Source organism: Homo sapiens, chromosome 12 (assembly GCF_000001405.40).
Source record: "Homo sapiens chromosome 12, GRCh38.p14 Primary Assembly".
In the NCBI taxonomy this organism is placed as follows: domain Eukaryota; kingdom Metazoa; phylum Chordata; class Mammalia; order Primates; family Hominidae; genus Homo; species Homo sapiens.
This window is the reverse complement of record NC_000012.12, coordinates 11,385,418-11,400,793: the sequence shown is the minus strand read 5'-3', so window position 1 is coordinate 11,400,793 and position 15,376 is coordinate 11,385,418. Positions and strand designations below refer to the sequence as shown.

At 40.5% G+C, this 15,376-nt stretch overlaps 1 protein-coding gene and 1 long non-coding RNA gene across 2 annotated transcripts; both read left to right on the top strand.

Moving 5' to 3' along the window:
- The first annotated feature begins 905 nt into the window (after nucleotides 1-905).
- LOC124902878 (uncharacterized) lies at nucleotides 906-2,157 on the top strand. The gene is made up of 3 exons (XR_007063211.1): nucleotides 906-983; nucleotides 1,317-1,499; nucleotides 1,954-2,157. It is a non-coding gene; the product is annotated as an uncharacterized LOC124902878 (long non-coding RNA).
- A 3,069-nt stretch (nucleotides 2,158-5,226) lies between these two features.
- Nucleotides 5,227-9,254, top strand: PRB2 (proline rich protein BstNI subfamily 2). The gene is made up of 4 exons (NM_006248.4): nucleotides 5,227-5,328; nucleotides 6,264-6,299; nucleotides 6,817-8,000; nucleotides 9,146-9,254. The coding sequence occupies exons 1-3, from the start codon at nucleotides 5,265-5,267 to the stop codon at nucleotides 7,965-7,967; spliced, it is 1,251 nt and encodes a 416-aa protein (NP_006239.3). The 5' UTR covers nucleotides 5,227-5,264; the 3' UTR covers nucleotides 7,968-8,000; nucleotides 9,146-9,254.
- The last annotated feature ends 6,122 nt before the right edge of the window (nucleotides 9,255-15,376 follow it).

Sequence of the window (15,376 nt, the reverse complement as noted above, 5' to 3'; positions counted from 1 at the left end):
GGACTGATTTCTGCCCTTTCCCAATGTCCCAACAAAATTACAATAAAGAAGCACAGCAGAAATTAATACCCAAGATTGAGGAGAATGAAAGAAGAGATGACAATAAACAACAAATGTAAACAAAACTGTGGAATTGGAATGACAAATAGAAAAATAACAGAGTTTGTGATTGAGCAAAGCCAAAATCAGACATGAAGAGGGGACTGTTGTGCAATTTTTGCCAGAACACCTGGAAAATTTGTCCTATTTGAATATAGCATTTTCATGTGCAGAAATTTACATGTATGTACATTTTAGTGCATATTCTGCATCAAAGTTTGATCATTCTTCTTCAACTGAATCCTGTGCATTTCTTGCTATTTGATCCTAGGTATTTTACATTGTTCTCATGAATAAGGTCATTGTCTCATTTCTCTCTCTCTGTCTCTCTCTCTGTCTGTCTCCTTCATTTCTTTTTCTTATGCTGTTCCCTATGAAGTGTATGTGTTAGGGAAAGTCACTCAATCACATTAAGATTTTATCTCTAACTTTGAAAAGTGAACATAAATGCAAAAAATCCTCAAAGTGCTATTGTAAGTACTAGAAGAGCTAAGGCATCAGAAACATCACTATGCAAGATAGAAAGGAATGATCCATATATCTTTAGCTATGTAGCCATGCATGTGTTGAAATATAATATACGATATAGGTAGCAAATGGGTCACTGAAACAAACTCGGTTATTGAATATTGTTTAGAGACAGTTTTGATCCAATCATTTTTAAAATGAATGTTCTATCTCTGTCTCACAGCATGGACATCCTCACAGCATGTGTCAGGTTCCATAAAGAACAATTTGGAATTGCATGGCATTTCTATGATACAGACTCAAAAGTCACAAAGTATCACTTCTGATATAATCTACTGGTCATGGCAGTAATGAAGTTCTACCCAAGCTCCAAGGAGGTAAAAGCAGACCTCAGCCCTTCAAGAGAGGAGATCAAGGTACCATTGTAAGAAGAAAACATTGGATGAATGATTCTGTCGTGATCATATTTTAAAAACAATTTCCAAGATGATAAATATGCATACATGTGGACTTCAAAATCAATGAAATACAGTAATAATTCGTGGTTCTTAAGCAGAGGAGACAACATCTTTTGAAAGAGATAGGTACAGGTTTATGGGTTTAATAAATGAGTCATTGATTAATCACTTTAATGAAATTCCTATCATCTTACCGACTTTGTACATGATCAGAAAAATATGAGGGTGACATACATTGCTTTGTATTTCTTATGAGATAAGTTGTGATTGTACTTCTCTATGAACTGATAGGATGTTTAACTGAAAGCTGAAGAATACACTCTGACATTGTGATAACAGTGGTGTGATGAGGCTACAGACACTTGACCTTAGGCTGATGACCAATGCCTTCTATGGCCCCAATCACTGAGGGTGGAACACCAGCTCTGGGGCCAGGACACAGGTGACATCTTCATGCAGAAGACTGAAAGTTATGTAAGTGGTATATAGTTTATCCTTTCTTAGACAACTCTCTGACCAGGCTCCCTCTTGGATTTCTAGAATTTTAGATCCATTGTGATTAGAAGGATCAAATTTAGTCAATTTAAAAGGGCATACACAAATTTTGTCAATGCTAATACGCCACCCAAGAAAAATGCATGTAGCATGGATTAAGGAAGGACATACAGGATCTACATTGACAGGGTTTTGTAATTAGAAAAAAAAAGGAATTAATTCCTCTGAGTGTCTTTATATAAATGCAAGCGGTAAAGCGGAAGACTAGAATATGTTTAAATGGGATTATGATTTCAAACAAACATGTTTACTCAGGAAAATATATTTTTAGTCACATTAGCTGTTAACGTCTCAGGAAAATTTAACCTTGACAATATTCTAAGAGAAACTTGTTTTTGTTCTCTGAATCTCATTTCCTTTCACTTTCTTTTAGAGAAATGAATGAATGAAGAGCAAGTAACCACTGGAGCACAGTAGGCAAGAACTCAGATCTGAGAACTGACTGCCTTCCATTCCACTTACTACCTTTATATGAACCTAGACACGCACCTAAATTACCTCATCTACAAAATTAAGATAATAATAATCATCACACCTCCCTAATATGATGGTTCTGAACATTGAATATCATATAGTAAATGCTGAAGAAATGTTTTCTATTATAATCAGCCTTTGCTAGGATAAATGGAAAGAATATAAATATGCTCAAATAATTGTGAAATATATATATATTAGAGAGCATCAACATCAAATAAAAATGTAAAGATGAAGATCCTACTAGTGTAACCAAAGTTTTTAGAAAAGTCAAAGCAACGCTGAATTCTCAAACACAACTGTGTTATCAGAATGGTTGGTTTACCCAATGAACACAGTAAGTTGAGGAGGATTTGGCTTTCTGTTCCATTCACAGAGCTTCCGCGTCTTCAAAAAGAGGGAGATGTGTGGGTGTGAGAGAGCTGAGGCATGAAGTTTGGATCTTATTACAAGTGCAGAAGAAAATCCTAAGAGCATTTGAAGCACAAAAGTGTTATGATCTAATTCCTACTTTTCAATGATCACTGTGACTGATGTGAGGGGAATGGATATGGGATGTGCTGGGGTAGGAATGTTACCAAGAGCAGCTGAGGATATTAAACTTCTTCAGGAGAGAGCATCATGGCCTGAACTATCACCTTCTAGTAAAGATTATGCAAGTTGTTGTATTTGGGATGAGTGTTGAAAGTGGAAGCAACTCGATTTGCTAAAGGGCAGTGCCTGAAGGGAGTGAGGAGTTTTGAACCACTGAACACTTGACTTAGAAAAGGTTGGGAGCTGTTATGAGAGCTGAACTGTGTTCCTAAAATTTCATATGTTGAAGACTGTTCCTTCTGGACCTGAGAATATGAACATGGATATTAGAAGGCAAGTGGAGTGCTGAGGGCTGCCACTCACATATAGGTGCCCAAGCTCCTGCTGCAGTCCTGCTTCTCTCTTCCACCCACATTCAGTCACAGACGGTATCCCTTTCCACATTTCCATCACCTCTTTTTTGTTTTGTCTGGTGAGTGCATAGCTTATATTTATGCTTTCCTGAAAAACTTTACTCATTGCTGACACTGGAGAAGACCAGGGAAAGGGCCTGAAATGAGTGACCTTTAGGGGCATTTCTGTTCTCTTCCTGTACTCTCCTGCCAAGGGGAAGTCTGTCTTGCATCAGGCTGTAGCAACCTCAGTTGGTGACATAATCAGGCAATGTCATCCGTGCCTCTTTGTTGCTCCTTGTCTCTGACATTCCTTTGCTACCTGATGGTCTAGCTTAAGCCAGCTAGGCAGGATTGTTCATTTCCATTTCCTATGGAAAACAGTGTCTGTGAGACCAGAGACACAAATCTCAACAAAGCACTGGGATCTGCTGGGACCAAGCAACTACTCCCTGCCTAAGATAAAACTCATGAAGCTCAGCTAGAACCAATCCACTTTCCATAGAGCCAGAAAGAACTGCCAATTAGTAATGTATTCCCCTTTGAAGTATGTCTATATTTATGCCAGGGAAAATACCAATCTGCCTGGTTCCCCTGCAAGGGCAAAGTTATGCATAGCAAAGCCTTTTGTATTAGGAAGTCTCCCTGTACTAATATCCGCAACTCTTCAGAAGGGCCAGACCAGACCCTCATGTGCACAGCACAGGATCCACTCATCCACAACGGTCAAGAGGCCTGTCTTTAGGATTTACTGTCACATACCCTCTCTACCCCCATCATACCTCCCACCAATCTGTTCTCAAATTAACACCAGCCATGCACAAAATGTGAACAATTACACAAGACACACAGAAGGTCTAAGTGGTAAATGGCAGCTGTTGATACTGACTAACCTGTATATTCCATGAACTGATGAGCAGGGATTTACCAGATATAAGAGAAGAACCAGCAGCTAAAAGAAGTGCTAACAATGCAGGACTCTGAGAGGGCTTTTTGGAAACACAACATTTATTGTGAAATTACACAGACAGGAATGAAAAAAGATGGTGAGGAGTATATATCCTATTACTTAAAAGATTAAATAAAGGAAATCTCACCAAATTCATGGGGAAAAGCCAGCTACATAATAAAAGATACACATAATGAGCTTGACTCAGAAAATAAAATATGTAAAAGAAGTACTAGAAAGAACGTGGGGAGGAATGCATATCAGAATATTGTAGAAAAATACTCGTGGAAGAAGAATCTGAGAAAACAGGTAACACAAATACTGACTAAACCAATAAAACCAATAGAATGCAATTGAGGGTTTGATGGTGGTATCTGATTATCTTATTTGAATGTAGAATTGTGGCCACTTAATTATCAGTGGTAAGAATTCGATATAATTCCTAAAAGAAATGAAGCAGTGGGTGAATTTTATAGAATATTCTAGAGAAAGGGAAGAGCATGAAGGAAATTTTAGCAACATGACATCGCATGGCTCCCTCACAGAACTATGTATTCAGTTTTCTCAGGTCTAGAAATTTCCTGGTGGTTTCTGTGTCCATTTTGCGTTAATAACCTCTAAAATTACTTTAGAATACAAAATTTTAGACTTCCTGTGTTGTACAGGACCAAGCCTTGCCTCAGCTGAGTGAGATCCACAGAAACTTGAACAATAGCCCTATCCTGAGCAGGCTGCGGGGCAGCTTTCTGTCATCTATGTGTGCACAGAAGTGTGCTGTCCTCACACATCTCATAGATAGCAGAAACCATCTCTATCACATCAAAAATTGAGCTAAATATGAAAATATCTGTACACACACATCACAAGAGATGGAAATAGGGCATAATAATATCCAGAGATATTGACCATCTTCACTGCTGGTTGTAGCATCGCTGCTCACACACACATAAACAGAAATAAATAGCACAGTGGAAAGTGGATGATAGTCTTACCTAAAAGATTGAAACTCTAATGATATCTAAAGTTCAGTGATGACACAGTGCTGATGGCTTGGACACAGTTCCTTCAAAACCATTGTTCAAGTCATAGTTGTACCTTTTGGAAATAAGACACTAACAACATATCCTATCCAACTCATCTCTCTGGGCTAGAGTCTCAAAGAAAAATAAAGGAAACACCTGACCTGCAGTGAGCAAAGCAGAAGCCAGTCTCTGAGGTGGTGAGGCCCACCCAGTGTGGAGCTCAAAGGTGCCATTGTTCTTCTCCTCTTTATAAAGGGAGTTGCCACGTTCCTCCCAGCACAGAGTTGGGAGTGACTCCAGAGCCTCCTGCAAGATGCTGTTGATTCTGCTGTCAGTGGCCTTGCTGGCCCTGAGCTCAGCTCAGAACTTAAATGAAGGTAAAACAGAAGGGGGAGAAGATGTGGTGACTCTGCTTGGGGCTTAGGAGGTGATAATGGTAATTACGGGGAAGAGAGGAGAATGAAAACACAGATGGGGCTGCAGAGTTTTCATGCCTAGGATCAGGAGACTTGTTGTGCCCTCATTCCACAATAAGAGTTTCTAATTTATTTAATGTACAATGAAATCCAATAAAGAATTTGTTCCAGGGGAATGAGAAGGTAAGATTTGCATTTATAGATAGAACTGTGCTGTGAAGGATGCAGTAGAGAATGCAAGGCAGATTCATGGAAGTCCAGCTGTGAAGATCCTAAACTGATCTCAGTAAGTACACAGGGATGATGGTGGCCTTGCTGTACAGTGCATCAGCATCGATGACGGCGATAGACACACACAGTATCAGAGATACTGCAGAGACAGAGAATTGGATGGAACACTTGTCTCTGTTTAACTAGAGATACAGAAATATCAGAGCCAATCATTGTCATTTTTCTCTCCCTTACACGCAGTATTTCAATGTGCTGGGAGTGGTATGGGTAAGATTGTATTGAAATGATTACTTCTGGTTACCCCAATTGAGAAAGCATGTGTACATAAGCAATGTATTTATAGGAGATGGAGGGCATAAGAACACCAAAATATCACATTGAAGTACCTGGCATTTGTGAACTAAATTAGCATTAAGTCTTGAGGGATGCTAGGGAGGGAAAAAAGGGGCTCTTCTATGTTGAGTTCATGGCTGTTGCTCTGTCATAACAACCCTGCCTCCCCTTACACCTTCCTCCCCTTCCAGCAGCTTCACAGATGGTGGCTGATGAGTTAACTTAGGGGATGCATGGGGTGTGGTGAGAAGTCTGTTTTCCCTGTAGAACACTTGTGAGTCTTGTAAGGTTCAAGATGTAACTGTTCCCATCATCCTGTGCTTCTCTTCTAGATGTCAGCCAGGAAGAATCTCCCTCCCTAATAGCAGGTAAATCCCGATTCATTCTCAATCTGTTCTGACTGTCTTTTTCTGCTTATGAATGGATCAGTTCTCCAGTGTCTTCTTATCAAAACTTTCCTTTCGGGAATTGATTAATGTTAGTGCTCCTAATAATATAGGCACTCTTCATGCAACCTTGATTCTGGGCATCATGAGCAGGCCACCAAATTGAACGGCAGAGATGCTTGGCTTAGATGACAGCAGGAGTGGGTTACCTCATCCCCCTGGCCAGGAGTGCCTGCTGGGAGATGACAGACAAATGGGCAGCATCCTCATTCTGTCTCCTCTTTATAATGAGAGGCCCTCAACTGCTTTGTTCTTCCCTGGCGCTCCACTCCAGAGTTCTATGTCTTCACTGAAATGCAAAGAAATTAATGTCTTGGTCTCATTTTTGTGTGTTTCCCCACTCAGCTTGTTACCCAAACTGATAAAAATTTACTGCAACTATTCAGGGAATCTTGTATGGGCTTTTACTCTGTCTTTCTCTTCTCTCTTTGTTCTCCAGGAAATCCACAAGGAGCACCCCCACAAGGAGGCAACAAACCTCAAGGTCCCCCATCTCCTCCAGGAAAGCCACAAGGACCACCCCCACAAGGAGGCAACCAGCCTCAAGGTCCCCCACCTCCTCCAGGAAAGCCACAAGGACCACCCCCACAAGGAGGCAACAAACCTCAAGGTCCCCCACCTCCAGGAAAGCCACAAGGACCACCCCCACAAGGAGACAAGTCCCGAAGTCCCCGATCTCCTCCAGGAAAGCCACAAGGACCACCCCCACAAGGAGGCAACCAGCCTCAAGGTCCTCCACCTCCTCCAGGAAAGCCACAAGGACCACCCCCACAAGGAGGCAACAAACCTCAAGGTCCCCCACCTCCAGGAAAGCCACAAGGACCACCCCCACAAGGAGACAACAAGTCCCGAAGTTCTCGATCTCCTCCAGGAAAGCCACAAGGACCACCCCCACAAGGAGGCAACCAGCCCCAAGGTCCCCCACCTCCTCCAGGAAAGCCACAAGGACCACCCCCACAAGGAGGCAACAAACCTCAAGGTCCCCCACCTCCAGGAAAGCCACAAGGACCACCCCCACAAGGAGACAACAAGTCCCAAAGTGCCCGATCTCCTCCAGGAAAGCCACAAGGACCACCCCCACAAGGAGGCAACCAGCCCCAAGGTCCCCCACCTCCTCCAGGAAAGCCACAAGGACCACCCCCACAAGGAGGCAACAAACCTCAAGGTCCCCCACCTCCAGGAAAGCCACAAGGACCACCCCCACAAGGAGGCAGCAAGTCCCGAAGTTCTCGATCTCCTCCAGGAAAGCCACAAGGACCACCCCCACAAGGAGGCAACCAGCCTCAAGGTCCCCCACCTCCTCCAGGAAAGCCACAAGGACCACCCCCACAAGGAGGCAACAAACCTCAAGGTCCCCCACCTCCAGGAAAGCCACAAGGACCACCCCCACAAGGAGGCAGCAAGTCCCGAAGTGCCCGATCTCCTCCAGGAAAGCCACAAGGACCACCCCAACAAGAAGGCAACAATCCTCAAGGTCCCCCACCTCCAGCAGGAGGCAATCCCCAGCAGCCTCAGGCACCTCCTGCTGGACAGCCCCAGGGACCACCACGCCCTCCTCAAGGGGGCAGACCTTCCAGACCTCCCCAGTGACAGCCTCCCCAGTCATCTAGGATTCAATGACAGGTATGATTCCAGTTTATTCTTCACCAAGTGCTCTAATTGCTACAGCTCTCCAGCTTTATTGTGCCAATGAATCAGCTAAAAGCCCATTGGCATTGTATAGTCCCAGATCCCATTTCTAAAGATTTGTATTGACATATTCTGGAAATGGGTAACAAGATCCTATATTTGTAACAAACTCTTTAAGGAATTCTGATGTTGAGAAACAAAATTCCAAATAATCTGTCTTAAGTTGTGTTGGCAACAAGGAAGTAGTACCATGTTCTCTCTGGCGCTCTGTTTTCTGTGCACAAACTGAGAGACCTCCCATTTAAAGTTTTCACCTGAGCACTGTTTGCTCAGTCCTGCCTCACACCAGCCTCTTGAGTCCAGTATTCCTGCCAAGTGGTCCCTGAACTTTCAGCAGCTAAATGGTGTCTCATTTTTCAAATTCTTACTGTTCAATAAGTACATGATTAAGCTAACAAAAAATATCTAATGCAATGGAAAAATATGAATCTAAATTTAAAGGCATGACTCATCCTACCTGCCTCCCCTCCTTCAGAAAACTGCCACTGTTAACTTTATGGCATCTTCTGTTTGAAATATTTATGTGTACATAGACTACTAGAATATTTTTCCCCCAGAACTAATACCATAATTTATATTCAGGTACATATGTTAGTCATTTAAAAAATACATTTCTTTGAAAATTTCCACATACGTCTATGAAGCTAAGTAGATCTCTTCAGTGGTTATCTGTTTGTTTTTACCATTTTATACTACTCCATTATGTGGCTGCACCGTGATTTCTTTAACCAATCTGTGTCACTGGACACTGAGGGTGGTTTCAGCTTCTCACTGTTATAAAATATGTTCCAGTTCCCATCTGTGTAAATATATCTGTGAACAAATTCAGCAGCAAGTAATAATAAGCTAAGAATGATCTTCTGTCTTCATCACGTAAGGAACAATTTGGAGCACATTTTGTGCAAGGGCATCCAAAGAGTGAACACACAAAAAATTAGGGAGGAAACACAGGAGGTAGAAGGGATAGGGGGAGAGAGGATGGGCTCTCATGTACTGTAGTGCAGTAAGACCAGTGAGGAATTCGACATTTCCTGCCATGTCAAGTCTGGTCTATGAACTTCCTTGTTTGTTTGTTTCAGGAAGTGAATAAGAAGATGAGAGTGATTCAAATGATTCAAATGCCATGACATTGGAAAAAGGTCATCATAGCTCTAACTTCTGTATACCAATAAAATAATTAGCTTGCAATTTCTGATTGTGGTGTCTGTTTCTCAATATTTGTGAATGTGGGATCTGAGGACCAAGAGAAGACATTACACGAATATCTAGGAACCCTTTTCCTTGATGCTCCGGGAAGTTTCCCTCCTCCTTAATCCTAATTTAGCCAGCTGCCATGCAAAAAGGTTTTACTGTTTCTCTACTTCCCTGACTTCTATTTTTTTTCCTCCAAGATGGAGCTTTTTTCACCCAGGCTGGAGTGCAGTGGCACGATCTCGGCTCACTGCCTTCTGCATCTCCTGGGTTCAAGCTATTCTCCTGCCTCAGCCTTCTAAGTATCTGTGATTATAGATGCCCACCATCATGCACAGCTAATTTTTGTATTTTTAGTAGAAACGGGGTTTCACCATGTTGGCCAGGCTAGTCTCCAACTCCTGACCTCAGGTGATCCGCTTTCCTCGGCCTCTGAAACTTCCAGGATTATAGGTGCGAGCCACCATGCCTGGCCCTTCCATGACTTCTACAGCATAAATTGAAATTTTAAAATTATTTTCTGATTGTTTACTGATATTCCAGTGATCTTAAGGACAGAAAACACAACAAATGCAAAAAAGTCACAGAAGCTGAAAGAGATCCTTATAATTTCTAAGAAGCTGAGTTTGGTTTCAAGGGAATGAATATGGGTCTATGCTTCTTATCCCCAGAACCCTCTCTATCTCATTGACCCTATTTTAACAGTGATCACTTCTCTCCCTTCCTATTTTCCTCATCTTTCTTCAACGAAACCTGAATGGACTTCATTAAAGAGACAGCATGATTTTAAGAAGCAAAAATTTTGGACACTCTCAGGTTTTAATTAAGACCTAACTGTTTTTCTTACTATCTCTGGAGTCTTAAAAGTTTACTTAGACTCTCAGGGCTTCAAATTCCTCATCTAAAATGAGAATAATCATAACAACTACCTTAGAGTATGGAAACTAATGAGATAACATATATACCAAAAACATTGCAGAGACTGGCATGTCTGCTTCTCAAGCAAGGAAGGTTCAATATTAGAAAACTGCCCCTGTGCCCACCGATAGCCTCAGATAATTCACTAAGAAGTCGGAAAAATCCGAACAGAATGATCTCACCATAACCACCACTAAGTTGAGCAACCCAGTTGCAGCCCTGGTCTCTGGCTTCTCTCCTATTATCATAGGTGAAGCATTCCTACCCCTATCTCTCACCTTCCCACTTGATTCTGAACCACATTGCCCAATCAAGGATTTTGCTTCTGCATGTGACCCTTTTGTCTTGTGATTGTTACATCTATGCTCTATGGGATTACTTCAATCAGCAAAAGCCTGCTGAAACATCACCCATTTCCACAGAAGTCTTCCTAAGACTCTTAGTGCTTCTTTCCCACCATATTATTTGCCTGCCATTTTTATTGGAAAAGTTCTTGAAACGTATGTATGTGATTATTTCCCCATTCCCCCACCTCCAAATTTTTCATATGTACACGTTATAGATGCTTTTGTTCTTTTCACTTCAAGTCTGTAAAGATCATCTACTGCCTCCATTCTACTCATTTCAGGAATCAACTCTCAGTCCCGCATCTCCTGTGACCCCTCAGCAGTTTAACACCACTGATCCTACCCTTCTTTTGGGAACACTCTATCAATCTTTCCAGGAGCCTCCCCCTCTCTCCTAGGGTTTCTCCTATCTCTGCCTCTTCCCTCCTACAGCTACAAAGTTCTTCCTCTTCCAGCTCTTTTTGGTCTTGGTAAAGAATTCATTTAATTAATTAAGCAAACTAGGATTTATTCTTGACTCTTCTCTTTTCCTCTTTCATCACATTACATCTAGTCAAATCAGCTATGTTATCTTTGTGACGTTCAAGCTTCAAAATAATTTCCTACTGCAGCCAGTTTCATCACTTTCATCTCTATCAGCCCCTCTAAGCAAGCCTCACCTGCAGTTTACACCAAATAGTTCTATTTATTTCCCAACAGTCAATTACCCACCTTGGCCATTTAAAAATTATATTACTTTTCTATGTTTTCCAGTTGATTGCCACCACTTTTACTCTATAAGAACCAGACAGTATTTTTTTTTTTTAGACAGAGTCTTCCTCTGTTTCCCAGGCTGGAGTGCAGTGGCAAGTTCTCAGCTCACTACAACCTCTGCCTCCTGGGTTCAAGTGATTCTACTGCCTCAGCCTCCTGAATAGCTGGGATTACAGGTGTGCGCAACCACACCCAGCTAAATTTTTGTATTTTTAGTTGAGTAGGGGTTTCACTAAGTTAGCCAGGCTTGTCTTGAACTCCTGACCTTGGGAACCACCTGCCTCATACTCCCACAGCACTGGGATTACAGAGGTGAGCCAGTGCGCCCACCTGCTAATTTTTACCTATGCTAAAGTCCGATGTATTCAGTCCTAACTCTCTGTGGAATTGGGGGATGCTCTACACCTAATTCATTCTGCTATGGCCACGCTGGTCATTGTCTTTTTTTTATGGTGGGGTATGGAAGCAGTATGCTTAGATTTTCTGTTAATTAAAAAAATATTTTTGAACAAATACAAGTTTTGATTTTGTTACATAGATTACATAGTACTTAAGTCACAGCATTAGGGTATTCCTCACTCAAATAACAAACACTACATTTATTAATACCTCACTATACAACCGCTCTGCCTCCCATACTCCCAAGTGTTCTTTGTCTATCATTTCACTCTCTACATCCATGCAGACACATTCTTTAGCAACCACTTAACAGTGAGAACGTGTTATATTTGATTTTCTGTATCTAGCCTCTTTGGCTTAAGAAAATGACTCCCAGTTCCATCCATATTGTCACAATATGTGTGATTTCATTCTCTCTTTGTAATTGAGTAGTATGGTATTGTGTATATATATTTACATTTTTTAATCCAATCATTCATTGACAGATACATTGGTAGATTCAATATCTTTGTTACTGTGAATGTTGCTACAATAAACATACAGATAAATGTATATATTTGATACATTGACTACTTTTCCTTTGAGGAGATACCCAGTAGTAGGATTGCTCAATGGAAATGTAGTTCTAGTTTTAGTTCTTTGAGAAATCATACTGTTTTCCATAGAAGCTGTACTAATGTATATTCTCACCAAGGGTGTTTAAGAGTTCTCCTTTCTCCCTATCCTTGCCAACAGCTGTTATTTTTCACCCTTTTAATAATAGTCATTATGACTGAGGTAAGATGATATCTCATTGTGGTTTTCATTCACATTACTCTAATGATTAGAGATGTTGAACATGTTTTCATTTACTGTTGGCTGTTTGTATGTATTCTTTTGAAACACATCTATTCATGTCCTTTGTCTATTTTTAATTGATTTTTTGTTGTTGTTGCTGAGTAGTTTGAGTTCCTTGTATACTCTGCATATTAGTTCCCTGTATGATGCATAGTTTACAAATATTTTCCCTCTGCATGTTGCCTGTTGACACTGTTGATTTATTTTGCTTGTAAAATATTTTAGATAAATTAAGTGCCATTTGTCCAATTTGATTTTTGTTGCCTGTGCTTTGACGTCTTAGTCATAAGTTCTTTTCTCAGCCAATGTCCAGAAGTTTTCTTCTTGTATTAATATATGCCCACATTTTACATTTAAGTCTTTAATCCATCCTGAGTTATTTTTCTATATGAGAGATGTGAGAGATAGTGTTCCAGTTTCATTCTTCTGCATATGGCAATCCAATTTTCTCAGCATCATTTATTGAAATGAGTGATGTTTCCCAAGTGTGCGTTCTTGTCTGCTTTGTCAAAGATCAGTTGCCTGCAAATATGTTGCTTTATTTCTGGATCTTTTACTCTGTTCCATTGATCTATGTGCCTATTTTTAGACCAGTCATATCCTGTTTTCATTACTGCAGTCTTGTCGTATAATTTGAATTCAGGCAATGCGACACTTCCAAATTTGTTTATTTTGCCTAGGATTGCTTTGGGTCTTTTGGCTCTTATGTTTTCCTTCTGTAAGTAATGTTGGATTATTTTTTACCAATTCTGTGAAAAATGACATTGATATTTTGATAAAGATTGAATCTGTTGATTTCTTTGGACACTACAGTTGGCCTTGTTAACATTCTTTCAACATACTAAGTTTGTTCCTAACTTTATCAAGCATGTGTTTGCATTTTATTCAAGTATGCTCACATCTTCCCACATTAAAGTCTTCTTTGAATACACAGAACCCCTTATTCTCTTAAACTTTCTTTAATGATTTATCAAATCATTGTCACTTTGAGATAGTCATATGCAATATTCCTACTATCTAATATTAGCACTCTTATGTAGTCCCCACCACATTATATCAGGATTGGTTTCTGTGACCAGCAAAATATGGCAGAAATGGTGGTATGTTACCACTGAGATTAAGTTAAAATTGAAACTGTGGCTTCATCTTTTATTTTTCAATTCGCCCCTTCTCTCTGTCTCTTTCTCTTCCTCTGTCTCCTTCTCTCAGACAGCACTTGCACTGGGAACACCCAGCTGCCATGTGAAGCAGCTCTATGGAGTGAATCTCTAAACATCTCTCCCCTTGGGGGCAACAGAGGAGTAGACACCTACAGAGAAGAAGGAAAAGTCTCCCACCTCCAATTCTTCAGTCTGCACCTGACCTCTATAACAAGCTCACTGTTCTAGAGTTGATTTCTATATGGAGACCAGAGTGGTGAGTGACAGGCATGGTTCTTCTGCCTCCTACTTAGCCTTGCTAGAAAGTCAGATGACAGCTCCAACTACTGAGGTCCCTTCACTAGTGATTTTTTTTCCTTTTTTTTAGAATGAGGAGGCTTTCTTTGTGTTGTGTTCATGATTGTTCTCTACTGTCACCAATGTCAACACTACTCTGTGCCTGAATTTACATGTTAATTACATTTATCTTTCTGTCCTTGCAAAACTTACATGCCCAACAACAAATTTAGTAATTACCTGTTTTCTCAATCATTTGCTTTGTTTTAAAAACATCTAAGTCTTCCTTCAACTTCCAACGGACCTGCAAAATCCCACCTAGCACAATTTTCCTCACTCTCAAATGTCAGATAATTGGCTTTTGTCCTGGAAATTCCCATTTCTCCCTTTTAAGTAGGATAATGCATATCCTGAGTTACTGTCTTCCTGTTTCTTGGTTTTCTTCTTCTGTGAAACATATGCTAGCATAGCTTCAGCATATGAGAAGTAAACTATTTCAAGGTTTTTCGTGTTGCCAGATGTGTTATGTGACCTTCACACTTAAGTGATTACCTGAATGGATATAGGATTCTAGTTTGATTGCTATTTTTACCTAGAGTTTTTAAACCTTTATTCCACCACAGCAACAAGGAACCATCTTGGAAGCAAACAGAAGCCCTCACCAAACACTGAATCTGTTGATGCCTTAATCTTAGACTTCCTAGCCTACGGAACATTGGGAAACAAATTTCTATTCTTTAATCATGACCCAGTCTACAGTCTTGTTGTTACAGTAGAAATGGACTAACACACAACCCCATCTGAGGTCTAATTAGTAAACATACATCTAAAAGCAAAACCAAAAGAAACAACAGCAAAAAAACACGGTTGGGCTGTCTTCTGACTTCTATTTTTCCATGTAGTTTCTGATACTCAATATCTTCTCTATGACTGCTTTTTCAGGGCATGTTTTACCTTACCCATTATCTATCACTTGTATCTGAGTTTATTTTCTGGACCTGGTTTCTTCTGACGTTCTTGGAAGTGAATAAATGTAGAAGTAAATAGCAAGAAAGTGGTGGAGTACAGTAAGCAAGAACATAGGCTCTGATGACTGACTGCCATCTCTACCACTTATTACTATTTTAGCAACTTTGGCTTGTGCCCACTCAGCTCACCTATAAAATTGAGATGGTAGTATGCAGGATTCTTACCTGATAAGCTGGTTCTGAAGATTAAATGGCATACAGTAAATGCTTAAGAAATATTTTTACTATAATCAGCCATGGCTACAATATGTTCATAGAATATGAATACCGCAAAATAATTGTGAAATATGTGTTTTTAAGACAAAACATAATATAAAAATATATGAACCAGTATCATAATTGTGTAACCAGGATTCCTCTGATACACATGAACCCCTCCCAGACCATAGGGACTTCATGCA

Coding starts and splice junctions, on each gene's coding strand:
- PRB2 (NM_006248.4), top strand. CDS start 5,265: ATGCTGTTGATTCTGCTGTCAGTGGCCTTGCTGGCCCTGAGCTCAGCT. Junction 5,329..6,263: donor AGCTCAGAACTTAAATGAAG/GTAAAACAGAAG, acceptor CTTCTCTTCTAG/ATGTCAGCCAGGAAGAATCT. Junction 6,300..6,816: donor ATCTCCCTCCCTAATAGCAG/GTAAATCCCGAT, acceptor TTTGTTCTCCAG/GAAATCCACAAGGAGCACCC.